Source organism: Homo sapiens, chromosome 15 (assembly GCF_000001405.40).
Source record: "Homo sapiens chromosome 15, GRCh38.p14 Primary Assembly".
Taxonomy (NCBI): Eukaryota; Metazoa; Chordata; class Mammalia; order Primates; family Hominidae; genus Homo; species Homo sapiens.
Genome location: NC_000015.10, coordinates 54,266,316 through 54,294,082, shown reverse-complemented (window position 1 = coordinate 54,294,082; position 27,767 = coordinate 54,266,316). Strand labels below are relative to the sequence as shown.

Below are 27,767 nucleotides of genomic sequence, written 5' to 3'. Positions count from 1 at the left end.
GATAAAAAAAAAAATCACCTAAGTTGTACCAGACATCCATTTCTCCACTCAAGGTCCTCACTTCTACAATTGTTTGTCCCAGAAAATCATCTGACTCCTTTTTGAAATGTTGCTTGACTCTGGATTTAATATCATCATCTTCATCCCATACTCTGACTTTGATTCGATCTGTGGAGTTATGACACTCACTGAAAATAAATGTGGATAAGTTAACAACAATTGAAAACTGCTCTAAATTCCATTTGATGTTAGTACTTTATTTTCTATCTATTCTAGAAAGGCATAATATACTACATAATAAATGAGATAACCCATTTCATCTATCCATGGGATGTTGCAGGCACATAATGCAACTATACTGAAGAAAAGCTAAATAATGTTAATAAGGGAAAATCAAATCCCATTCCATCCTATTTCCTTTAACTGATTTAGATATAATCAAATATGGGTAAGAAATCTTTGCTTGTGATATTTTCACTTATGCCATATTTCCTATTGACAATAGTTATCTTGATAAAAATATCCATGCTTGGAAAATTCTTCACCATAAAAATAAAGCTAATTTTATTGCAATGGGTGTTGAGAATGTGGACTTCACAGACTACAAAATGACAATAATAGTTTTCTGAAGGACTTGAAAAACTAAAAATCCCAGTAAGCACATAAGATATTATTAAATCAAGTAGAATTAGAGCAAAATCCTTCTGATTTAAAGAACAAACTGTGCATTCTAGTCCATCGTTAATTTCCAGGTTTTCTTCACCCTCTTTTGTTGAGGCAAGCTACTTAGTATTGCCTACACATATTATGGTCTTTTCTGACACTGTGGTTTTTGTATACACTCTTCCCTAGGCTTCTTTGCCTGTTAACCAATCAATCTTTAGGAATCTGCAAGTAAACTGATGTATATCACTTTTCCTGCAACTTATTGAACCATTTAGTTGCAATCAACTCTTTGCTTTCTGTGTATCCTGTACATGATTTCCTCTAGCACAGGTGCTTTATCTCAGGGTTCATGGATGAGTTCTGAGCATTCTTGAACTTGGATTAAAATACATATATTATATATGTATATACACACACACATATAAGGAGAATATACATATTATATATGCATTATCTATATAATCTATATAGATAGATATAGATATCTATCTCTATATATAATCTATATATTATCTATAATTAATATAGATATATGTATAAAACATATTTTATAATATATAGAGAGAGGAAGAGATCATCTTTATATTTTCAATTATGAATATAGGCAACAAACCACAGCAGCATTTTTGTCATCAATACAACCACAGATACTTACATATAACATTCTAAGTGTTATGAACCTTAAAATATTATTTGTACCTATCATTAAACTAAAACTGTGTTTCAATATAATTGATTTAATTCTATGAATTTTATTTTTATATGAAAAAGTACATTTTGAAAAGACATCTATGGTTTTCACTAGACTTCCCAACAGGTTCATGGTGCAAAAAGTATTTGAGAATTCCTGAGTATAATGTCTCTTTCATTAACTTATAAGGCAAAATAATACAGCACATACAAGAATAATATTTGAATCTGATGGGCCTATATACGAATTGTAGCACCACTGTTTCTACTTAACATAGGAGTTTTCAACACAGAGCATTTTACTAATTTCTGGGACATTTTTGGTTTTCACGAACATTCACGGACGTTACTGGCATTCAGTGGAATAGGCTAGAGATTTAGATACCCCACCATGTACAGGACAGTGTGCATGATTTAAAATGACCCATCAGGCATTAAGGAAATTTCTTAACTCATTGATGATTACCTTAGCTCAGGATGTAATTCTTTTAGGTAGAAACACCATGTCTTTTGCATGATTTACTAGACACTGAAATGTCCTGGAAAGGAACTAGCATGTCAATCACTAATCAAAGAAGGTTTTGTTGTTGCTGTTAAGAACTTCACCAAGGCTTCCTTTCCATTTTGAAAAATTACATCACCTGTGTCGAAACTACACAAAGTATTTGAACTATAATATTTGAACTGTAGTATTTATAGTATTTGTATCAGTGTGCATTTGAAATGGTCACATTCATCTTAATTCTATCAACAGTGAAAGCCAGTGTCTACTATGTATTCTAGGGTAGTTGTATCCAAGCCCTTACACGTTAAAATACATATTAGAATACTTTTAGTTCTCCTTCATTTTAAGTTGGAACATTATACTGATTTTTCAAATTACATCTATAGATAGGTTAAGTCATGCGTTACTTTGTTTCAGCATAAAATAGGTCATTATGAATTATTTTACATAAAAGTGATTCACTGGGTCTGACAGGGTTGAGAACTACTATGTCTACCTAACTTAACTTCTATAAATCTCAGTTACTTTATCTATAAATAACATGGGGTAATAACACTTGTCTTAGAAAATTCTTGTGGGAAATGGTAGATAATACCTTATAGCAGTTAGCACAGTGCCAGGCAATGTTTCATCCATATTAGCTATAAGACGCCATTATTCCACAAGTTCCACGTTCTTTTTGAAGTTAGAGCCTATGTTTAATATATCTATTATTGACAATTTCTGGCATGTATCTTTCAACAAATATTCACTAAAGTCTGTAAAGTTTCACCAAAATAAAATCCCTTTTACATTTGAAGAAAAAATAATTTTGTCATTCTTAGAAATATATTCATAAAAATATCTAAGTTTGAGCTATTTTATTAGTAAAATGAGGTAGAAATTGTGGGGAGAAAGGAAGAATTAATCCATGACATTGTGTCTGGAGCAGCTAACAAAGCTCACTATCAACCATGGAGAGCAGTTGGAATAGTAAGAGCACAGCTGTCTCCCATTGACTCAGAATTCCCAAGATAACTATGAACCCACACCTGAAATTATTGTAGCAAGCATATTTGGATGATAACACTTTTGGTAATTTACCCAAAATTTATATTAAAAGTGGCTAACATTCTAAGTTCTTTGCTATCAAAAAGAAGAAAAGTCTAAGTAGAAACAAAGACACAACTACTAGTTTATTTCATTCTTATCTTAGAAAAAGATAGAAGGCATTTTAGAGTAGCAAAAGATACAGTTATCATCTTAAACTTAACTCTCAATACATTGCAAATGCAGAAAGATGTCCCTTTTTGTCATTTTTTGATAAATAAATCATCAGAGTTTATGTAAGCCCTGGAAGACAGAGTTCTAATGCATTTTTTACCTGCAAATAGCAGGCACAATAAATAGCAAGCTCTAGATAATAAAGATTGGTAAACATTTCTAGAATCTATTCCTTCACAAGAAAAAATATCCATCTCATTTTGAGGCAAATTTTTTTGAGCTTCTAGTTTTTGCTATAAAAGCAAGGTAAAGGTGTATTAAGTGGTTAAATATGCATACAAATAGCAATCCATACAAAATAGTAGTAACTATATGGGTAAACATACACACATATGCATGTGTCTTTCTACATAATACATATACATGATATAGAAAAAGGAGGGAGAGACAATATTATCTTTCTTTCCAAATTTCTGTTCAAAATAAATGGGATACCAATAGATGAAGGACAACTATAAATGACCACTGATGTTCCTTGTATAAGTGTACTTGCAATTTGTCTTGGGAGTTTGAGTCTCTGTGCATTTCTGGTTGACTGTTTTTTTCATTTTTTTAATTAAATGAACTTTATTTTAGAATAATTTTAGATTTACAGAAGAGTTGCAACAATAGCACAGAGCATTTCTCTAGGCCCTGAACCCTAATTATTTCTTATTAACCTGTCACATTACTAATATTTGTCGCAACTAACATTGGTTCTACTTTTTCCCCGTAAAGACTGGCCAGCTCTTACATTTTTTCTCTTCCAAACAGCTTTTTTTGAGGAATATTAAGTTTGTCATTATGTTTCACATTTAAACTGTCAGAAACGTACAGTTTTACTTCACAGAGCAAAGGTAAGAGTGAGGCTGCTGTTTCAAATGTTGAAGATTACGTAAGGGTGTTGTGATGGGTTTGAAACTGGAGATTTCAGTTTATGATTCTGTGGTGGAGAAGCATATGTATGGATGCCCAGCCTCTCGAGCATTCTGCTTTCATTTTGACTAGATCCCTCCTTGTATTGCTCATCTTCTGAAGACTGAAGTTAGATAACTCACACTCCTGGATTCCTTTGTAGCTATGTTCCAGGTATTTACCCTGCATTCAAGCAAGGTGTAAACTCAAAGTGGTACAGTGTACAGTGCCCATATCATGGGAACTGCTTTTTTTTTCCCCCAACAGTGGATGCTATGTAGTACTGTGATACAGGGTTTCACAGTACTATTTAGTCCCGAGGGGCAAAAGTATTGATCGGTGTTTTCCCCAAAGAAATGTCACCACATAATTTGACCCAGTTCCCACACAGTAGCTTCAGAAGCTAGTACTTTAACCTCTACAGTCATTCTTGAGTGACCTAGTAGTCTACAAATAATCTCTCAGCCTAAACTAACCAAAGTGGACTGTGTTGTTTGCAACTAAGAATACTCACTAACATAATAATTTTTAAAGCATGAAGGGAGTGGCAAGTAACAGAGTCTAAAAACATAGAACTGACTCTGTGGAGGAGATGCTGGCACAGAGAGTGAAGATTTAATCACCTCGGGCTAGAAAGCCGATACATTTTGATACGCAATTGCAAAACAGCTGGTCAAATCTTGCTCACTATAAACTTTGACCACCATGCCACCTGAAGCTTTTTTATTAGTGGGAATGGTGGGAAATAAAATTCAGAATGTTGGCAAGTGATTATCAAATGTTTCCCCCTTTCAAGAATATACTACCATACACAGAGATACATTCAAACTGAATGTAGACAGTTTATAGGTAGAGATGCAAAGGAGAGCAGCCATGTTCAAAAGAGGGTCATGTGCTAGTGTCCTGCAATATAAATTGACTGAGAATATCATAATTTGGAACTCTGCAGGGTTGAGAAAAGCCAGCTGATTCTGAACACAAAAAGGTACCTGTACAAGCAGAGGCTTCTAAGTGCAACTTCAGAAATAGATAAAATTGTTGCCCTAGGGCTTTTCCAGCACCATCCTTTAAGAGGTCTTCGAGTCAAAATGAATGGTAGCTTAGTGGCAAAAACCAAATTAAAGGTGTTGCATTCTCACCCTGGCATATTATTTTTCAGGAACTGAGGCTGCAGCCATTAGGTTAAGGGAGATGAATTGATCAGAACAGAGGAGCCAAGAGATAAGAGACAAAATTGTCCAGGCTTACGTGGTTACTTGCTCATAAAATTGTCTTAGAGCCCGTCTCCTGGAAGCCTAGTAAATTCTCCAGGAAACAGTACTGCCCAAAAGTCATATATACATGCTGAGAAGCTAAAGAGGTTGTTGGTGGCAGACGCTATAAGTACACTCATACAACAACCTTTCAAACCACTCCTCTCCTTCCCTTTTTTAGTTTTATGCAATTTCCCAACCTCCCCTGCAACTAGAGATGGACTTTAGCCAATGTGTCTCACATTTGGCTGGCTACAGCTGTGCTTAAAGTAATTCCTGGGTCCCTGCACTCACAGCAATTAAAAGAAAAAAAAAAAGACTCCAAGTAGAGCATCTCCCCAGCTAGGAAGACCACATGCCTGGATTTCCTGGGATGGTCCTCATTTATGGATATTGCAGATAATGGAATGACTTTTCATTCTTTTGGAGCCCTTTTTAATTTACTTTCACCTTTCACAGTACTCACCCTTGAGTGTAGGCACTGATAAAATGAGCAAAGAAGGTTTACCCATATGTAGACTCAAACTAGTAGAGGGAAACTGATAAACGAAATTCATCTAGAAAGTAGCAGGTCATACAAGATTGACTAACCCAGAAACTACTTCTGTTGCTAGGACCAGGAAGTCCTGAATATACCTGTCCAGCAGGACTCTATGGTTGCTACATACAAAGACTATGTATTTTCCATTTCCTGTCTTACTAAATCAGAAATTTTAAATTGCTGTCATCCTATTTTCTTTTCTCTCCACAATACATTGGGAGTGTTGGACAAAGATACATAGTGTTTAATTTGTGTCCCAGGATCTACAAAGAACCAAACCTGAAGCTTGTGAAGAGACTACAGAAAGATCCTGGACTTCAAGCTAAATGCAGTAACTGAATATAATTTTTAGATTACCTACATTGAAAGGAAGAGAATGAATTCACTTCATTTAAAGTAAACATACATGTAGAAAAGTCATATATACATGCTGAGAAGCTAAAGAGGTTGTTGGTGGCAGATGCTATAAGTACACTCATACAACAATCTTTCAAACCACTCCCCTCCTTCCCTTTTTTAGTTTTATGCAATTTCCCAACCTCTCCTGCAACTAGAGATGGACATTAGACAAAGTTCTTCCAAAGAGATATGAGCAATAGTATTCTGATGCTGTCTCCTCTTTTTTCTCCCTTTACTACCCTGAAACATGGATGTAGAACAGGCTTCACTAAAAATGTTAAAATAGGAAGATAAAATAAGCTTTGTTCTTTGAAGGGATAATTGAGTTACCATACTTATATCTGAACTTCTTGTTGAATGAAATAAATGAATGTCTTCTTTGATAAAGCTGTGGCTTAATGTGAGATTAATGCAATTCTGATTGGATCAAGTAGGAAAAGAATAAAAAACATAGTAAGTTCATTTTGTTTGATTATATCTGAAATAAATTTAAATAAGTTTAAGAACTCTTATTAGTTTTTATACTTGCTGTGTTCTATGGTATTCCTTAGCTATTTAAAATGTGTTTCACAAACCTTGACTTTTATGAAAATATACAGGTTTGCATTTTAGCTGGGAAATGGTAGGCTCTTGTAGTAAACAATTTGACAGCAAGAGAAATATCCTCACATACAAGAGGAAAAAAATCTATCATGTGTAATAGTGGGAGAATGCATAGTCTCACTAAACCATTTCTGAACTGAATAATTTTTTAACCAAGACCCCGGGTTTAGGGTTTACCAGTTTGTGAATTTGGCTTTTCTTTTATCAACAGAAATTAAGAATTTTTACTGCACAAACTTGATAAATAAAGTACTGCTAGAGCCAAGTTATTTGTTTTGCAGTTTTCCTTTAATTAAAAATAATTCTCTTCTTAAAGAGTGATTCATATTTCTAATTTTAAATGTTTTCATTGTTAAAGAGAGAGCTGGTTTTGTTTCCATGGGAATAAGGTCTTTTATTCCATTCAAAATTAAAGAAAAATATACTCCTTTTCTGGCCTCAGTATTATTGTATGTGTGTCTGTGTTTTGTTTTGATTTTAGTTTCTAATTTACAGGTGCTGTGCTCTGCAGAGCCAATCACTTATTTGGCCAATTTCCTTTTGGCAGTCATCAAAATGACTAATTTCCTTATAATTGCTTATTCCACCTTTGCAAATATTTTCAGATATAGAGTCTCCTAGATATGGTCTAAATAGATATTTCCTATCATTAAAGCAAAATTTTTTTGGCCAAGTTATCAGAGTTTAACCCATCATGAGATGGATCGCTCTACCTAGAGAAACGCTCATGGCTTTCATAGTCAGTAAAGCCTGATTGCCTGACTTCAATGGAAAAAAACAAATTCCTGCCCAAGTAACCATCTCGGAATACAACAGCATTGCTGAAGTAGTATAGTAGAAGAGAGCTGTTAAATATTGAAAACTGCACTTATAGTTGGGCTAGATCTAATGAAGCAACTAAAATATACTTCACACTGCAACTATACCAGAAAAATCTCAATAGTAAGTGCTGTCACCATTAGAAATCACGTTTGTTAAGAATATCTAAAATTTCTAGCTACATATTTTAATTGTAAAAAGATCCTGTAATATTTAAAATAGTATTGTACCAGCTTTTATTAAAAGATATACTGATAAAATAAATAATGGACCAGGCAGAGTGGCTCACGCCTGTAATCCTAGCACTTTGGGAGGCTGAAGTGGACAGATCACTTGAGGTCAGGAGTTCGAGACCAGCCTGGCCAAAATGGTGAAACCCTGTCTCTACTTAGAATACAAAACAAATTAGCCTGGCATGGTGGCAGACACCTGCAACTCCAGCTACTCAGGAGGCTAAGGCAGGAGAATCGCTTGAACTGGGGAGGCGGAGGTTGCATTGAACTGAGATAACACCACTGCACTCCAGCCTGGGTGACAGAACGAGACTCTGTCTTAAAAAAAATAAATAAATAAAATAAGTAACTACTGAATATACATGATTAATAAATATATACGTATATAAAAATATATATTCATTAAAATAAGCTATAAGCGTATATATCAAAATATCAAAATATAGGTGATAGAATTTGTGAAAAATGTTATTTTATTATTTATATTTTTTCTGTTACAATAAAAAATGTAGTTTCAAATATCTTCTAGTAATTATGAATGATCTCATTCTAGCTCGGCCTGGAAGGCAGGGCATCAGTTGAGAAAATCATCAGCAGAAACCTCCTGCCAGAGCCATCTCGAGGCAAAGCAGCCACGGCAGCCTTTCAAACAGTAATTAAATTCTCTAGTTACAGCTTAATTCCTTAAACTCTGACCCAGCAAATGGAAATACTATAAGACACTCAACTTTCACATTTCCTATTAGTGATTGATCATGAATTATGTAACCCACTTCTATTGCAATATCGGTATCTCACTTGTTATTGCATGAAGATCCCTAACACTATTATCTTCAAATTCTATTATAGTAGATGGACAAACTCTGACTTCAAAACCCAGTGTTGATGCAGAGAAACTTTTCTCACCTACATTTAACAGGAGCAATTTAGTTATTGGAGTATTGGAGTTTAAAAAAAAAAAGAGTCCTCAACACTTTAAATTCTCTCATAGTTTTTCTTTGTAGTATTAAGGCACTGTAAATCCATTTCAGAAGTCAATAACATAGGAAACAATGAAAATAAGAACAAGAAAGGAATTATATTATTAGCATGACTTTTGGAAAAGGAAAAGAGGAGTTCATGCACTGGCTTTTAAGGGTTGACTGAAGAAAGCACTTATGTTTTAACAGATCATAGAAACAAAGGGCAAAATATGACCTTATAAACTACATTAATTTCCCTGAACCACCTTCTAGAACCCACAATTAGATTATAAATCTTTCAAAGTCTTGTATTATATGTTTATATCTAATAATTTCTCCGCAGATAAAGTTGCAGAATAAACTTGTTTTAACAGCTGTTTTGATGACTAATAAATAACATTAAAACAGTTGAATAATAACAGTAAGTGAATACTAAGTTTTTAAAATACTATCAAAATTATAATGTAAAATATAATTATTAAAATAATAAACATAAAAAATTGTTTAGGAAAATACCCCGTGTTCATTTTGCTACGAAAAGAGAGACCACTTAAGAAGAGAGATATCAGCGAACAGGCAGATCAGATTATTCTCTCAAGAAATTAGAAGTGTGTGTGTGTGTGTGTGCACAAGTGTGCACATGTGCTCGTGGTGATTTCTATTCACCATTTCTTTGGTTCACCTTGTATTTTCCCAGCTCAAACCCTGTATTCATGTTTTTCCTCATTAAGGATGTCTTTTCCCTACTCCTCTGGTGAACACTTACCTGTCTTTCAAAACCCACATAAAGATTCATCCCTGTGTGAAAGTGTCCTGGGAGTTTTTTGTTTGTTCCAAGCTCTAGTGCCTGCAGCAAGTAGGTATTCAAAATCGTTTGCATAATAAATAAGAGAAACATCACAGGTAGGAGTAATTATACTCTCTTTTTAATTCCTCATTAGATATTACAAATATACTTGTTTGAATTAGTGGCATAATTATTGTAGCAGAAATTAAACTATTTGTTTGAAGAAACAAGATCCACTTTGGATGTATGTTTGATATTTATTTGATATTTTAATAAGGAAATTATCTTCCCAAATCTGACTTTTATTTAAGTGGCGATATGTGTTCTTTCTAAAAATTTACCCGTCCATAGAACAAAGAGCTAAACATCAATAATCTCTAAAGTCATTGGTTGTAATGAGGAACAAAAGATCATACAACTGTAAAGGGACTGGAACAGTGTCTGTTGCTGTTGTTTGTGGTTTTCTTATTCTAGCTATAATATTCAAAGATCTGTGATTCACAGTATTAGTTACACATTTTTTGTATTTCACTTTCAAGGTCAATATGTATTAGACATGATGGAATAATAGAACTAGCTTAGAAAAAGACCTGTCTAGTTCAAATTCCATTGGAGCCACTCACTAGCAATACGACTTCGGGAAAGTTGCTCAGTTGCACTGAGCCTCTGCGCCCAATCGATAAAACTGAAGTAATGATAATTACTTTTAAGGGGATTAAATATTACATACACACACACACACACACACACACACACATATATATATACACACATATATATCACATAGAAATGTTCTAGGCACTTAGATTTTTAATTACAGGTAACTGCTTGTAACTAATTACATTATTCAAATGTATAAATATATTCCACCCTTAACAGCAAAGGACATGTCAACATAGATATATAAAATATAATACATTCTAATTTCCTAATTATAAAACCCAGGAGATTGATTAAATAATGTATATATACTGATACAATAAAATCATAATCAATTATTAAACATTTAGGTTTAGCAATATCTTTTACAATGTGGAAATTTTTACAATGGATCACTGAGACAAAAAAACTTATAATGTAGGGATTATAATGATTCTAATACTTAAATTTTATATTCTTTTGTATATATATTTATGTCTCTGTGTGTGTATATATATGATTGGATATATACATCGTTTTATGTGGATTTGTATATATACCCATATTGTTGAAGGTATGTATATAATTGATAGTGACAGGAGGCAGCCAGATGCCTAGGCAGATAGGGTTGTGTAGCAGGTGAAACCCCTCCTCAAAGCTGAATACAGTTTAAAGCCTGAAAGCCTAGTTGCAAGTTAAATCCTTGGACTGGATTCAGAACTTGTCTTCCTGTTTGATGTGCTATCCTCTGACTGATCCCCACCCTTCATCTATTTTATACATACCTGCCCTTTCCTAATTGGTTTTCTACGTTTTCATGTCCACCTTTGAGTGAGGTCTTCACTTTAACCTTTTTTGCATACTCACAAACCAGTCAGCATGCACACACCATCCTGTGCCTATAAAGACCCCAGATTCAGTCAGTAGAGGAGAGACGGCCTGACCTTGAGGGAGAGACAATGAGACTCCAGCAAAGATGACCTGAACTTCCTGTCCCCTCTCTAGCTCCCCTCTCCGCTGAGAGCTGTTTTCATCACTCAATAGAATTCTCCACCTTCACCATCCTTCAATTGTCCACATGACCTCATTCTTCTTGGACACCAGACAAGAGCTTGGGACCCACTGAGTGCAGGTAGGAAGAAAAGGCTGTCACACTGGCCCCTTGCACTTGTCAGCAGAGGGCACCCACCCCACATGATGAGGCAAGGGGCCAACTGAGCTGCTAACACACCACCATCCATGGACAACAAAAGTAAAGAAGCACTGTAACACCCCCTCTGGGGTTTTGGGGTCGTGGGCACCCTCACCTGGGCAGTGCCATGTTCCCCTTGAAGTGACACACCTGGTCTGGCCACAGGTCCCACATGGGGCTTACTCCTATACTCAGAGCAGCTGGCTATATCCCACGCTCACTTGCTCACTCCTGCAAGAGGTTGAGCGCAGTGGGACAAGTAGAGAGGGCGCCCCTTCTACAAGTCTGGCGAAGGGGCTGAGAAATATCCCACATCATAATTACACATATATACATATTGAATTGATGATATATATGTATGTGTATATGTATGTATACATGTGTTCATATATTTATGATTCTGTATATATAACTACATACATGATCAGAACTAGAGATAGCAAAATTTTTTACAGTAGTTACCTAAAAATCACTCATATGATGGAGATGTAGTTCAGAATACTGGTTAAGATTAAGGGCTCAAGCAACATTATTCATAATACCTAAAAGTAGAGTCAATTCAAACCTCTACCAACTGGAGAAGAGACAAAATGTAGTGTACCCATACAATGGAATAGTATTCATTATTAAAAAGAAACCACCTGCTGAGACATACCCCACATGAATGAAACTCAAAAACATTAGGCTACATGAACAAATCCAGATGCACACTTAAAATGAATAAATTGTATCATATGTATATTATACCACAGTAAAACTTAACAAGAAAAAAAATAAAAATGAGAGTTCACTTTTGGTTCCACCACTTGTTGACTATTGTACTACTTAATCTCTTTGCCTTGGTTTTGTCTTCTGTTTAATGGTGATAATAATAATGATACCTACCTCATAATACTGTTGTAAGAATTAAATGGATTAATGTGTACATGTGTATCACTTAGTATAGCACTTTGGAGTGTATAGATACATAAGCAATACTTGTAAGTATCTCTGGAATGAATGCATGCATTCTTTTCAACTTCGTATTTGACTGAGAGTTGGTGGTTTTAATTTCTCCCACTGTTGCATTCTGTAAATTACCAGAAAACTATAACAGCAGTTAAGGAATAGAAGAGCTGAAAGGCAAATGACCAGCACACCACATGCCAAACCCATAAAGAAAATGCCATGAAAAAATACATACAACTACATATTTAGCTTTAAGTATATCTTTGGTTCTCTCTCTCAGTCCTTTCAGTATTTCTTTGTCCTTTTCTGAAAGATCTTAGCATTTGTGTCTTGATAATAAATCTTAAACACAAAGCATTTTTCTGGAGTGTATGATCCAACTTTCTTATTTCAGAAAAGGAAACCTCTGTATAAAGACTAATAAACATTTTGCACTAGTAACAATGAGTGAATTGGAAAGAAAATTGTGGATATAAAAGTTTTGGAAAAATAATAGCACTTTATAAACTATTATAATTGTTTTTAATGCTTATATAGTCAGTCTGTATAAGTATATGGATAGTTTAAAGACTTTTAAAAATATTGAGTGTTGGCCGGGCATGGTGGCTTATTCCTGTAATCCCAGCACTTTGGGAGGCTGAGGCAGGCGGATCACTTGAGGTCAGGAGTTTGAGAACAGCCTGGCCAACATGGCAAATCCTCATCTCTACTAAACATACAAAAATTTCCCGAGCATCGTGGCACATGCCTGTAATCTCAGTTACTCAGGAGCCTGAGGCAGGAAAATCGCTTGAGCCTGGGAGGCAGAGGTTCCCATGAGCAGAGATTGCGCCATTGTGCTCTAGCCTGGGCGACAGAGTGAGACTCTGTCACAATTTTTTTAAAAAGTATATATATATATATGTGTATATATATATATGTATGTATGTATGTGTATATATGTATATATGTATGTATACATATGTTTATATATGTATATATGTATGTATACATATGTTTATATATGTATATATGTATATGTATGTATATACATACATATATGTTTATATATGTATACTTGTATGTATACATATATATGGAGAGAGAGCAAGAGAGAGAGAGAGAGACAATGGGTTTTTCAGAAATATGGAACTCTCCTCTATCAATTTCCGTCTGCAATGAGCACAATTCTTATTGTGATAGCTGTATCCAGTTCATTACTTGACTCACTGAATGTTATTGTCAATATTTTAATAGAAAGTTATTATTTAGTATTAGTATTTGCCTTTAAAAAGTTTGATATATTGTTATCAAAGTAGATACATGTATCTACTTTGAATTGTGACAAATATGGGATCGTATTGTACATATCATTTACCCCTTTAACTTAACACATTGGGTACATCCTGACACATCATTCTTTTTAATAAGTATATTGTATTTCATTATATTACTGTGTCCTAATTTATTTAACTATTCCCCTATATACAGTAGATAGACATTTAAGTAGTTTCCATTTATCTACTGTTGGAAGCAATACTACACAGAACCACAGAACCCCTTGTATATGTATATGTTTATAAACTTGTGAAAATATGTTAGTCAAATTATTAAAAGTAGCTTTGCTAGATTTAAAGGTGTGCATATTATATGCATATCTGTATACACACACATTACTAAAATGTTATCCAGAAACACGTATGTGCTTACCCTTCTATCTGCTTCTCTGTACTCTCATTAACACTAAGAATTTTTACTGTTTAATATTTGCTGATGAGATCATTGAAAACCTATCTTTTTATATTATATTGACTTTTAGGGAGCACATCCATCCTACAGTAAACAAAATACAGGCATAAATATTCATGCAATACTTTTCTATTTCCTTACCAGCCTATCTGAACAGAAAAACATTCTAATGAAAAGCTTCACATTCCCACATCTAAAAGACCTCTAGGGAGATAATAAATATTTCTTGCCAGAGAAAAAGAGTTAAACAAAATCAATAGCCAGAGTTTATTTTTGGCAAGAAAACAGGATCAGTCAGCATTCATTTCTGTAGACACCTGGCATCCTTTCTCTTAGCTATTCCCCCACCTTCCTTGCTAGAAAAGAAGAGCTGCCATCTTTCAAGAAACTTTGAGGCAATGATGGAAATGCCAGTAACAAGTTGTGGTTCCATCAGCTTCCCAAACAGACTTTATCTGAACACCAAACTTGAATCGGGAGAGGCAATCACAAAAGTAAACACTGTCAACTAACATCCCTCTCATCCCAAACATGAGCAATACAACAGCACAGTACAGGCTTATACAAAGAAGATTGTACTAATCACCAAGGAACTGCTGGAGAAATGTTAGGAAATCTCACATTCCAATTAACTTTTCCACTTAAGTCTAAGCTTCAACCAATTATCTCAAACGGAGCAAATGTTCTTAAGAATTCACAAATAGTAATGTTGGTTATTCCTCAGTCCTCTCTGGGCTCTTTTGCTAGATGTGAAAAATGCAAAGAGATGGAATTTTTGAAAATGCCAAGTCACTGCACAAATACCACAAAACACTTGGCAACACCTGTCATATTTTGGCACTGGTACTCATCTGTCTGCAGTATTGCCCTTTATCATTAAAATGCAAACTTAAGTGCCATAAGAACTAAAGTTGAATAAATATGTTTATGAACATCTGAATGAAAAATTTACCAGACACCTGTTTGAATGTATTTAATATTTCCAAAAGTTTGTGTAATAAAACATAAAACAACCCAATTTGATCAAACATAAGCATAGCTTATATTTTAAAAAGTATAACAAATACTGTGCTCTAGGTGATAAAGAGGTAAGACTGATGGTTCACATAGAAATCATTCTGATGAAAGCGATTACTTTAGGTTGAACCATATAATATTTCCATTTTTATAGGTCAAAAGGGTCAAATGTCAAGAATTTCACATGGCTCGATTGTGTAATGACCAGTTCTGCATGATGAAGAAGGATGTGTCCTAACTGAAAATCCAGTATGTGCTTTGCAAGTATAAGAAAGATATTACATTTAAAAAAAATAACTAGTGCATTCACAAAACCTAGTCTGATTATTAAAGATACTGAAGAGATCAGTGTCGGGGAGATGGAGAGAAGAACGGCATTGTACAGCTTAACGACAAAGTTGAGGAAGCCCTGGGATCATCAAGATATACTAAATTTGATTCATTTGAGAACAGCATTGATCCTAGAGAGGATCATTTAGACATTAGTGAATGCTTTTCCAGAAATTCAGCCATTCCTCAGGGAACTTCCCAATTCCTCTCTCGCCAGATAGGGGATTAATTTTGTCTACTCAAAGAAATCTAAAGCTTTCAAGCTCACATGAGAATATTAACCTGACATGTGACTCTAAAGTAGGGAGCAGTAAAGAAACTTCTGGCTGTTAAGAATTTTCTTGGAGTTCTAAAATCACAAGATCCATACTCATAAGGAGTGGCTGATAAAGAAAAAGGGTAAGATTTCTAAAAAGTGGTGAAAAGAGAGTTGGGTGCCAATATTTAAAAAGGCACAGCAAAAACTAGGCAAAATAGTCAGAGGTCTCAGGTCAGGATGGAGTGGCCAAAGATGGTAAGGAAAGTTAGGTCGGTAGAGAGCATTGACATAAGAGTTATTTTTGAGTTGCATGCCACGCTGATCCCTTTTCCATAAACAGAAAGTTATCTAAGGGGATTGTTTCTCTCTGACTGTGCACCGGCTACTACTTGTACTTAAAGGACTCTAACTGTAGAGTAGCCTCCAAAATCTGAGATCGCCTGGAGTGCCAGTTCATCAATTTATCAGCTACTTAATTTCCCCCAACTGTATCATTTTTTTCTACAACATTACTCTCATATTATGAAATAGATTGGGTTCAAATCATTTGGTTTCATCTCAATCCTTGTGATTGAACATGCAATTGAAAAATACAACTGAATTATTTGTTTTAATTCATCCTTGGAACAAAGCAAGGAACAAATAATTGCTTAAAATTAAATATTTATTAAAGCATGTCTTAAACCATTTTAAATATGGCCCTTGTAGCAGCAATATTAAAAAGATAAAGTTAATGTCTCCTTTTTGATGAAATTTTCCCAGCACATATACTTAATTATCTGCCAATTAGTAGAGTTCTATAAAGTAATAAACCTATGAATGCCAGAGGGCGCCTTAGGCATCATCTTGCAGTGAAAAGTCATGCCAAATGTTCCCCCAGAGTTAGTGGTAGGTTTCCATCTTGTTCTTTCTTAACCTTATACATTGTTCTGTAAGGACAGGGTGAAAAAAGATGATATGGATCTAATCATAATAAAAGCTCAAGAGGTTACTTCCTACTTCTTATTTTAGTGCTTTAACTAAGTCAAAAGAAGTGCTATCCATTTTATTGTCCCTCCCAGTCCAATTCTAGTCAAAATCAGCTTCAAAGTTTACTGGGTAGAAACATAACTGAAAGAAAATAACAAACATATAATGAAGACTAAAGGCATTCTTAACATTTCATCAGGCAGGAAAACATTGTGGAGATGCTGATAAAAATGTCAACATCTGAGTTCATATCATAATGTTTGAGTATCGTGCACAGAAAAGAAAGGCATGTCTTTGGAATTATTTGGAAGAAAATGTCATTGAAAACAAAGGAGAAATAAGAGTGAAGCAATAGTGCAAATAAATTTTTTAAATTAACAGTAAAAGTTTATAGAAGATGCTTTCATTGGTAAAAAAATCAATTATAGAAATTATCTTTTGAAAATAATTATTAAACATATTTTTATGCTTACTTTATACCCAAAATTATTTTAGGAGGTTGTCCTTAAGTAGCTCAAAACTTAGGTGAGGAAAATTACAGTAACATATATAAAGTACATAAAAATTTGGAAGGACTGTATCAAAAATGGTCTCAAATGTCGTAAGACTAATGGGGAAAAATGTTAAAGGCAAGTAGTAGATATGCCTGAGATAGCACATTCTTTTAATTTTGAGTAATGACTTTTTATATAGAACTCAATGAGTAACGTATAAAAAATTCACAACAGTATTACATCCTAACTAGCCCATTAAGGAACTTGGGGTTCTGGCTATACTATCTACAATTTCACAAAAGTCTGAGACATTTTTCTCAGCCATAAATGTAAGGATGTAAATGCACATGATACTGTATTTTAGATTTTAGATGTGTTGAACACTGTAAACCATTAATGCCAGACCACAAAGGATGGTGGTGGTCAGGATCACTGATATTACTGTGTGGTCATAATCATCATAGTAGAAGCAGCAATTTTATATCATCTTGAATTTGTGGGGTGTAATTAGTGGAATACTGACTCTGCTAACACAGTGAATGAGTTATTTTTTGTCAGAGTTTTTTCTTCAACTGTTTATTGGGGTATAACTAAAATACAATTAGCTGCATACATTTGAAATGTACAATATTTTTAGGTCTTGGCATATGCATTCACCTATATAATCATCACCATGATTAACATAATTAAAGTTGTATTTCAAAAGTTTCTCCAAAAGTTCCTTTGAGATTCTTTGTAATCAGTTCCTCTCATCCTTTCCTTTCCTTACTCCCCAGGAAAACACTGATCTGATTTCTTACACTGGAAATTAGTCTGCATTTTGCATTTTCTATAATTTTATATAGATGAAATTATACTGTAAGAATTCCTGTCTGAATTCTGTCACTTACCATAATTATTTTGAGACTTACCCAAGATATTGTGTATACCTACAGCTCATTCCTTTTCACTATTAACTAGTATTTCAGTCTCTGGATTTACCACGACTTATATCTATTCACCTATTGATATCTATTCACCTATTGATGAAGACTTGGGGTTGTTTTCAGTTTTAAGTTATTATAAAAAAGCAGCTATGAATATCTGTATACAAGTCTTTGTATGGACACATATTTTCTTTTCAATAAAGGAATGAATTCTTTTCCCAAGTGGTTTACCATTTTATATTCCCACCAACAACAGAATTCCAGTTCTATGAGAATTCTCACCAACACTTAGTGACAACAGGATAAAGGTATAGAGGAGACAACTAGAAGTGTATTATTATAACTTTCTCATATTGTATGTGAAGTAGTATTAATATTATATTACTGGTAGGCTGTTATAACTTAAAGATATATACATAATAAACTCTAAAGCAATAACTAGAATAACAAAATAATGAGATATAAATAACCCAACAAACTATATCATATACAATTATAAAAAATATTCAAGTGGTTCAAAAAAGGGCAGAAAAAAATAATACTAGGGGACAAAGAACATACTATTATACTAAGTATGATGTGATTTTCACATAGTTTTAATTTGAATTTCCCTAATAACTAATGCTATTGGGCATATTTTCATGTGTTTATTTGCTATCAACACAAATCTCCTGTGAGTACTTCAAAATGATAGATAATTCTGTTCTTGTTGGGCAAAGTGTTCTAAGTAGCCTACCTACGAGTAGTATAACTATTTGTGTCTTTATTTAAAGTGTATTTCTTACAGGCAGGATATGCTTGCATGTTGCTTTTTTATTCAATCTGACAATCTCTGCCTTTTATTCGGGGCATTTAGATGTTTTTTATGCAATGTGATCATTGGCATATTTAAGTTTTAGTCTATCATCTTGCTATTTGCTTTCTGTTTTCCCCCATTTGTTTATTTTACCCCCTTTATAGGATTTATCATTTTTGATATTAAAATTTGTCTACTTAGGCCGCGCGTGGTGGCTCACACCTATAATCCCAGCACTTTGGGAGGCCGAGGCAGGCGGATCACAAGGTCAGGAGATTGAGACCATCCTGGCTAACATGGTGAAACCCTGTCTCTACTAAAAATACAAAAATTAGCTGGGCGTGGTGGCGGGCGCCTGTAGTCCCAGCTACTCGGGAGGCTGAGGCAGGAGAATGGGGTGAACCCAGGAGGCGGAGCTTGCATTGAGCCGAGATCGCGCCACTGCACCCCAGCCTGGGCGACAGAGCGAGACTCCGTCTCAAAAAAAAAAAAAAAAAAAAAAGTCTACTTTATTAGCTTTTTAACCATAACATTTTTTGTTTTCTCTTTTTAGTGGTTGCTTTAGAGTTTATAGTACACACCTTTAAGTGGATATTTATGTGATAATAGAAGATACAGGCATGAGTTGTGTTTCTTCCATTTTGCTTGTTGGGATGGATTATTTAGCAAAAATCTATTGGTCTCCCAAAGGTTTCTCATTTGTAAAATGATAACAACAATCATAATGACAATGATTAGTTGTGAAGTATTATACATATGATAGGATTTGAGATACAGTAAATGACCACACAAATATCCATGCCTATAATTATAATGATATTTGCAATGATTTGGGTTTTGTTTTAGATATTTCTTCCTTGCCATTAATATTTCTTCAACACATTGCTTACCTATTTAAAACTTCTTTTGCCCAGCTTTCAAATATTACCTTGCTTTAAACATCTTTTATTTGGAGTCAAATATCTATCCTATTGTCAAGTCAAGTTGGCAGCACCAGGCAGAACTGACCACTTCTCCCCTACCTCCCTAGGACTGGCTCCCCCTGTTGACGATGTTAGCCTCAGCATCATCTCCACTCCAATTGTAATGAAAGCTCTGGGGCAAAAAAAATCATGTGTCTTACATATTTACCTCAGTGTCTGTAACACTGTGGAGAGTACCTCACACTTAAATACATGTTCAACGAATTATTTATCTACAGAGTGTTGGGGCGGATACTAACCAAAAAAATGCTCAGAAAGCTGAATTTTACACCATATGGATCTGAGTCAACAGGGATCTGCAGACTCCCAGTTTGGCCAGGGACAGTACTAGCGTGTTGATCTTTTTCTGCTTTCAAAATAGGTGGTCTACACAAGGGGTACATCCAAGAAGTGAGGGAATGAACCAAGTAGAGATAGATTGGCATTTTAGTTTTCGGATCTTGAAAATGCTGCTAGATCAGTTGGTTGTAGTGTAATACTACACTCAGGGGAAATTGCTTCAACCCACAAATGAGTGACTAGCATGCCCCATTAAGACTTCCCTGGTCTCCATTCCACACATGAAACATACAAGTGATAGTTTTAAGATGTTCCAATCATTGATAGACCAATAACCCAGGACTTGTATGGTGCTTTGTAAAGATGAACTGAGCTAATTATTGAAAAACCCAAATAGGTTTCCAGCAGCAAACTGAGTGCTAGAGTTGGGAAACACATGGCCAAGGCTATGATATACCATGGGGAAGTGAAAAACAAGAAAATCTATTGAGTAGTGATCAAGAATCAGATCAGTGTGCAGAGAAGCGAGGAAAGGGAAAAGCGGGGAAAGGAGGGAGATAGGGACACAGTGAAAGGAGTGTGTGTGCAAATGGAAAGATGGAAAAACAGATATAGGTGAATAAACTCTCAGAGAAGAAGAGAGGAATAAACAAGCATAATCATTTCTGCCCTTGGGACAATTTGTTTGGCTTTTCCTGGTTTCTGCAAGGACTTTCTGTTCTCATATATTAAAATTTGTCCTCACCTAATCCGTTTTCCATGTACTAGTTTAATTGTAGAGGGTTCTCTTTCCTCTGACTGAGACAGATTCCTGCAGAACAGTCCTTTTTACCCACAAAGATTGCTGTTTGTACCCCCAACTGCTCCCTAAAGATCTGGGAGATTTTATTTAAGTTCTGTTTGGTTCTCAATTTAAAACTAAGTCAAGTTCATAGCACCTTGCACCCCTGCCTATGGAATATTACAGTGATAGCTCTAAACATGCATCTTGATTTGATATTTTCTAGTTTACTGACTGTGAATTAATTCTCTTTGGTGACCCTAAGTTTATATTTTATGACATTCAATTTAGATCTCTCCATAACTCCTTCCGCTATTTATTATAAAACCCTTAGATTCTAGTGAGAAGCAGTGATAATGTAAATTCTGTTCTGTTGGCTTCGCTGTATGTGGATAGGTAATGGCTCAATCTCATTTAGCAAGCGAACAGTAGAATTGGTTATTATTATTTTCCTGCTGCTAGACATAATCACAATGTAGGCAATGATTAGAAAAAAAAGAGAAATAAATAAATAAATAAATTCTAATCCCATAAAGTGTGACTAAACTCCTTGCTTTAGAAACTGTGGAACCATCTTCTGTGACAAATGACTTGCTGATGTTGGTACCATCACTGTAAAATGGCTCAGACAACTGAGGAAATACTCCCTTCCCACATAGCCTAGGAAAAGACTGCTGGTAATCTAGGCAATAAATCAGATGCATGATTATGTTCAGGCTGTCATTTTAAAATATTAGTCTGCTGTGCTATCAAAATATTTTAAATATGGTATTAAATAAATTATCTTTTATAGAGCTTAGTTTATGCTTAACTGATACTCAGCCCCGGCTGAGCAGCACATGGCACGGTGGAGAGCCATGGGCCTGAGGCACTCTGCGCACCACATCTGGGTAGCTAGGAATTGAACGTGGCTGCCATATACTTCAAAAGGTCCAAAACAATCATGCTTCTAAACTACAGCATTATGAGTTTAGTGTTACTGTCTGTCAAGATGGGGAATAACTTTTAGCACATTTCCCATGGCGAAACTGAGATTCAAAGAGGTTAAGGATTGGTCCAGAAACATGTTAGACCCAGAATAGTACTGGTATTCAGGTTTATAATCTTGTTGGCCAGAGAGCTTTTTGTATAACGTGGAATCACTCTTTAAGTCAATACTTTCCATGGTACTTAACTACAGTGCTTTACATATAACGGTCACTCAGGAAATTAGGTGGAATTAAATGGATACTCCAAGAAGTAAGTGGAGCTGATTGTCCAGTCGGTTACATACGTAGAATACTTAACTACCATTCCCATGCCTATTCAATGCTACTATAAATGAGGACACATTTGCACTCCTATCACAGGCATTTTGTTGACTAGACTTTCATTAACTTAATTCTTTACTCCAATGGTTAATATCTATTAAAAACAGATTAAGTAACACATATCTACTATCAGCTTTATGACCTACCTCAACTCTTGCAGGGAGTCAGCATGAAATTTGTTTTTATTTCAGAAGTTTGCAAAAAGGAGGCACCAAGGCCTCAACTATAGAGTCCTCAGAGAACAGCATCAACATATGAAGAAAATGTCATCTCCTAACTCTCAAATTTCTTATTCAAACTGGCAGACCATACTGGCATTTTCTCTCTATAACTCACTGAGAGAGACTTACTTGTTTTCCTCCTGAGGGAATGGTTTATGATAAGCATAAGACATTTCATTAACAGTAGCAAAGGAAAGTGAAATTGAAGGTCATAATTAATTATGAAATGATCAACTATACAATTCAGTATCAAAGAGCAAAGATAACCAGCACCTTAGATTTATATGACACTTTATCATTTTCAAAGTGCTTTCATATGTGTTATCTTAATTAATCTTCACGTGATATTTTAGGAATTAAACATTTGTTTACAACCCCTTGTAACTCAGATTTCTGTAAGGGCTTAATTGGTTATGCCTCTGTTCTCTCCAAATGCTGTCCAGAGTGCCCCATTCTGAAATCACACAACATCTATAGTATTTTAAAGATTATAAATTCAAACTCTTTGTTTTAAAGTAAGATAAATAAAATTAAAATTGAAATTATTTAGCATTAAAATCTCTAGAGGGCATTAAAGTGCAATTAATGGGGGGATAATTAAGGCCAAATCCCAAAGTTGAAAAATTATTTCAACTACCTTTTCATTTTACCAGTTTTGTGATTGCTTGCCTTGTTTAGGTCTGCAGCAATTTTTCAAGTGAAGAGTTTGGATGTAGGGGGAAAAAAAATCACACTTCCCAATTTCTGCTTGTATCTTATTTGTGGCTTCACAACAGGGCACTACTTTGTAGTGTCGAATGTACTACAACCCATCTGAGCTTTGATTTTCTCATCAGTGAAGTGAGCAAGTTGGACAAAACTATCTCTCAGATCCATTTCCCAGTCTCAGTTCTCTGATTCTTATTTTAGTAGAATTTTTTTTTTCTTTTTACAGCAACCTATTCATTGGTTCTCCCTTGGCCTCACTATTCAAGTTGGAACTTTTTTGGCATGGGACTATTACTGTCATATTTAGTGTAAAGACCTGAAGCTCAGCACAAAGATATAATCATGTTATTAATGCTAATAATAATACAGCTATCATTTTTAACACTTAACAAGTTCTATGAAATTCATATATAGTATCTACCTCAAAAAACACAACAATTCTGTGAGGTATGTATTATTATCCCTATTTTTCATATTAGACAAGCTAAAGCTCAGAAGTTAAAGTCACACTATTAATAAAACATCTTATTTTCAGAATGTCAGTATATATTTTTCCACCCCAGTTCACAGGGCAGAACTGTCAGGGGAGGGGAAGGTATGGATGAGTTCATCTGTGATGTGTATACATTTTTCAACGTCTGAACATAAATTCACTGTGAACTCATTTCTTTCTGCAAAAGAGAACCGTTTATAAAGAAAAGGTAACTCTGCAATTCTCATGCCATTTTTATGATAAATGAAAACATGCACTGGTAGCTTCAAAATAGTATTTCTGGAGCCAGTGATATAGAACCTGTATAATAAGAATAAAATCTCAGAATTCAGGAAACTGATGACAGAAAGAACTAATGTTAAAAAAGTTGGCATTTAAAAAGGAGACAAATAGAAAAGAATTACAAGTGTAGCTTCACTTAAAGTTAATAAATATTTTATCAGTAAAGTGGAAAATATTTTGAAATATTATGTACTTATATATAGTTCATGCATGGCCAGGTACAGTGTTAAATTTGAATTTCTTCTTTGAAATGATGTTTAAAAAATACATATATTGTTACTGCCAGTACAGATAGAGCCTCCTATCAAAAGGAAACCAGGCACACAACATGGAAAATTATATGAAAACTGCCAATAATAATACAGATAATTCATAGTTTAATGGTCCATTCCGGTGTGTACTTCTGTGTACTTTCCCCATGAACTATGATGCATTTTAGCCAGTCTGGTGGGAACAAGCACTAGCCCTGGTCTGGATGAGCACTGCGAATTGTCACATCAAGTACTTGGGTGGTCCTAGGTAGTTTTATCACATGCATCATTATTTGGCTGCACTTATCATTACTCAGTTGATTTCTCAAGGAGGACCCTTTGAAGGATTAAAATAATACAATAAATATTTCTATTTTATTTTACTGATTACAACTGGATCAATATTTCTAGAAATTTTATTCTCTTTGACATGCCCTATGTTGGCTCTCATACTGTTTTATTTTGTTTTTGGCTTATCAATCAAATTCAGGTTTCCAGACTTTCTATTCTAGTCAAGAGGGATTAACAGGGACCAGAGATACCCTCCCACATAAAAAAATCAAGCAGTGAGCAAAATATATCAAAGAGTGGTTTTCAATATAATGGAGATATGTCAGTGATGAACAGTGATCCCTGAGAGAGAGAAAAACAAAGAAAGAAAGAAAGTGAGCCCTATGATTACTTCAGCTTATTGCCTTGAGGGAGTTTTCCAATCATTGTGCAAGGAATAGAAACCAAGGTAGATAGTTTGCTGCACGTTGTGCACATGTACTCTAAAACTTAAAGTATAATAATAATAAAATAAAATAAAAAATTAAAAAAAAAAAGAAACCAAGGTAGAGTCCATTAGACTCTTTGAGTTGAAAGACAGAATTGAAAGTTGGGGAAGACCAAGGCAGCTAGAGGTCACAGGGCATAATATCAAAAATAAAAGAGCTGAACAGAAGGAAGATTTCAACAATCTGCACAGGGGTCCCCTTGAGAAATGAGTTGAGTAATGATAAGTGCATGCACATAAAGAAACTGCCCAAGGCCAGATTAAGATTTAAAAGTTTGATGCAATAGTGCCCAACACACAGCCAGTCCTAGAAATCATACTAATTTCTACTGGGCAGAAGACAAAACCTCCTAATTCATGAGTTAGTAGGAAGAGTATGCTGAAGAGTCTTGCCTTCATTATATGGGGAATAATTAGCCTGAAATTGAGCACTATTTCATTCCCATTTAACACATTTGAAAAGCAAGATCCAAAGCACAAAAATATTTCCATGTAACTTAAGTATGTCCAGAACTAAGCTCAATAATACCTATAGGATGCTACGATATCCAGCAAGCAACAAAGTAACATTTGCAATGTCTGCAATTCAAGCTAAAATTACCAGGCAAGCAAAGTAGCAGAAAAATGTAATGCATAATGAGGAGAAAAATCCATCAATCAAAAGTGACCAAGATTGGACATAGATGTTAGAATTGGTAGGGAAGGACATCAAAACAGTTATCATAAATACTGCATGTTTTCAAAAATTTAAGTTGAGGCATGGAAGATGCAAAGACCCAGTTAGGATTTCCTAGGATGGAAAAGAAAATGCCTAATATGAAAATTACAGTGGCTTAGATTTTAGCAGGTTAGACATTACAGAAGCAAAGCTTAGTGAATTTAAACACACACAATGGAAGCAATCCAAAGTGAAATACAGAAGAAAAAAATAAGAAAAAAAAAATTAAGTAAAGTTGGGGGGTGGGGCGCAAGTGGAGGGAGAGCATTAGGACAAATACCTAATGCATGCTGGGCTTAAAACCTAGATGATGGGTTGATAGGTGCAGCAAACCACCATGGAACATGTATACCTATGTAACAAACCTGCACTTTCTGCACATGTATCCCAGAACTTAAAGTAAAATTTAAAAAAAAAGAAAGAAAGAAAAGTCCTCAGAGTGTCAAGGAGCTATGAGGCAACTTCAGGAGGCCTAATATGTATTCAAGTAGAGCCTCCAAACAGACAGCAGAATGAATATTTAAAGAAATAATGACCAAATGTTTCCAAATTTGAAAGAAAACTGTAGACCCACAGTCCCAAACAGCTAAACAAACCCTAAACACTAGAAAAAGGAAGAATATTACACCATGTGAAATCATAAACCAATTGTACAAATGAGTTGAAAAAATATTTTAAAAGCAGTTGGAGGAGTAGGGGAGATATGTTATACACAGAGAAGCAAAAATGTGGACAACTGCAGATTTGTTATTGAAAAAGCAAAAAAAAATTAAAATGACAGTCAGAATCATATGATCATCTCAATAGATACAGAAATAGAATGTAACAAAATGCAACATCTATTTCTGGTCAAAACTCTCAGTTCACTGAGAATAGAAAAATCACTTTTTAACTGGATAAATGGCATCTACAACAAAGCTACAGCTAATACCATAGTTAATCAAGAAATGAAGTTTTCCACTTGAGATTGGGAATGAGACTAAGATGTCTGCTCTTACCTCTGATTTGGCATCATACTGGAAATCTTAGCCAGTGCTTTAAAGCAACCAAAATTCCATCAGGGTTTTTTTGTTTTGTTTTGTTTTGTTAAAAAAAGATGAATCAATTCCTAAATTAATTCGGAATAAACATATTCCGAATACGTGATTCAGCTATTCATTCCACTTCTAGGTATTTATTCAAGAGAAATAAAAACATATGTCCACACAAATATTTACATACAAATGTCAGTTTTAGCATGAGTCATTCATTTAACATATGGGTCACTCTGTTGTCATTAACCAAAAACTGGAAACAAACCAAAATATCCATCAAGAGGTGAATAGTAAAATAAACTGTGATATATTAATAAAATGGAATGCTAACAAGCAATAGAAATAAGCTATTGACATACCCTACAATTTGGATGGATCTCAAAATAATTACGTTGAATGAATAGAACCACACAAAGCATTACATGCCATATTGTTCTAGTTATAGGAAATTCTAGAAAATGCAAAATGAAAAGTATCCTATAGCATCAGAAAGCAAACCAGAGACTGCCTTTGCACACGGGAAGTCAGAAGGGATGACTTTCCATGAGGCATAAAGAATATTTTGGGGCACTGATGGATATGTTCATTATCTTGTCTGTAGTGACAGGAGGTACACATATGTCAAAACTTAACAAAATGTACACTTTAAATGTGTAGATTTTATGTAATGTCAATTACACCTCAATAAAACTGTTTCTAAGGTTTCAGATATCCAGCTTCCTGAAAAACTGGAAGCTCTAGCTGCATCTTGTCTACATGATCGCATGGCAACGGAAGCCATTTCTTTTCTGGGAATCACCTGTTTTCCAGTTTTCCATAGTCTTCATCCCTCCCCTTTGTTGTTCCTTTCCTGCTATATTCATTTACGTGACTCCAACAGGAAATTTAATTTTAACTTCCAATTGATTTCTTGTCTTCTATTTTAACACGTAAAGGGATACTAATCTCTCCCAGAACTCTGAAGGGAGAAATCCTCCAAATCCCTTAGTTCATTCTACAGTACCCTCTGTTATTTG

General features: G+C 34.7%; 1 protein-coding gene across 7 annotated transcripts in view, besides 1 other annotated feature; it reads right to left on the bottom strand.

The window, feature by feature from the left end:
* The window catches only part of UNC13C (unc-13 homolog C), a 795,839-nt gene that overhangs the window by 339,358 nt on the left and 428,714 nt on the right, over positions 1 to 27,767 (bottom strand). For all 7 annotated transcript variants that reach the window (XM_047432538.1, XM_017022220.2, XM_017022221.2 and 4 more), the window contains one exon: positions 19 to 188. In XM_047432538.1, coding sequence (XP_047288494.1) covers positions 19 to 188 — 170 coding nt within the window. The remainder of the gene's footprint in view (positions 1 to 18; positions 189 to 27,767) is intronic.
* Positions 6,940 to 7,109: an enhancer, noted in NCBI's record as "experimental_39945 CRE fragment used in MPRA reporter constructs". NCBI's record gives its function as "activates a minimal promoter by MPRAs in K562 erythroleukemia cells, with activity observed for both the introgressed and non-introgressed 15:54579257 variant alleles {active_cell/tissue: K562}" and the evidence as "EXISTENCE:reporter gene assay evidence [ECO:0000049][PMID:34662402]".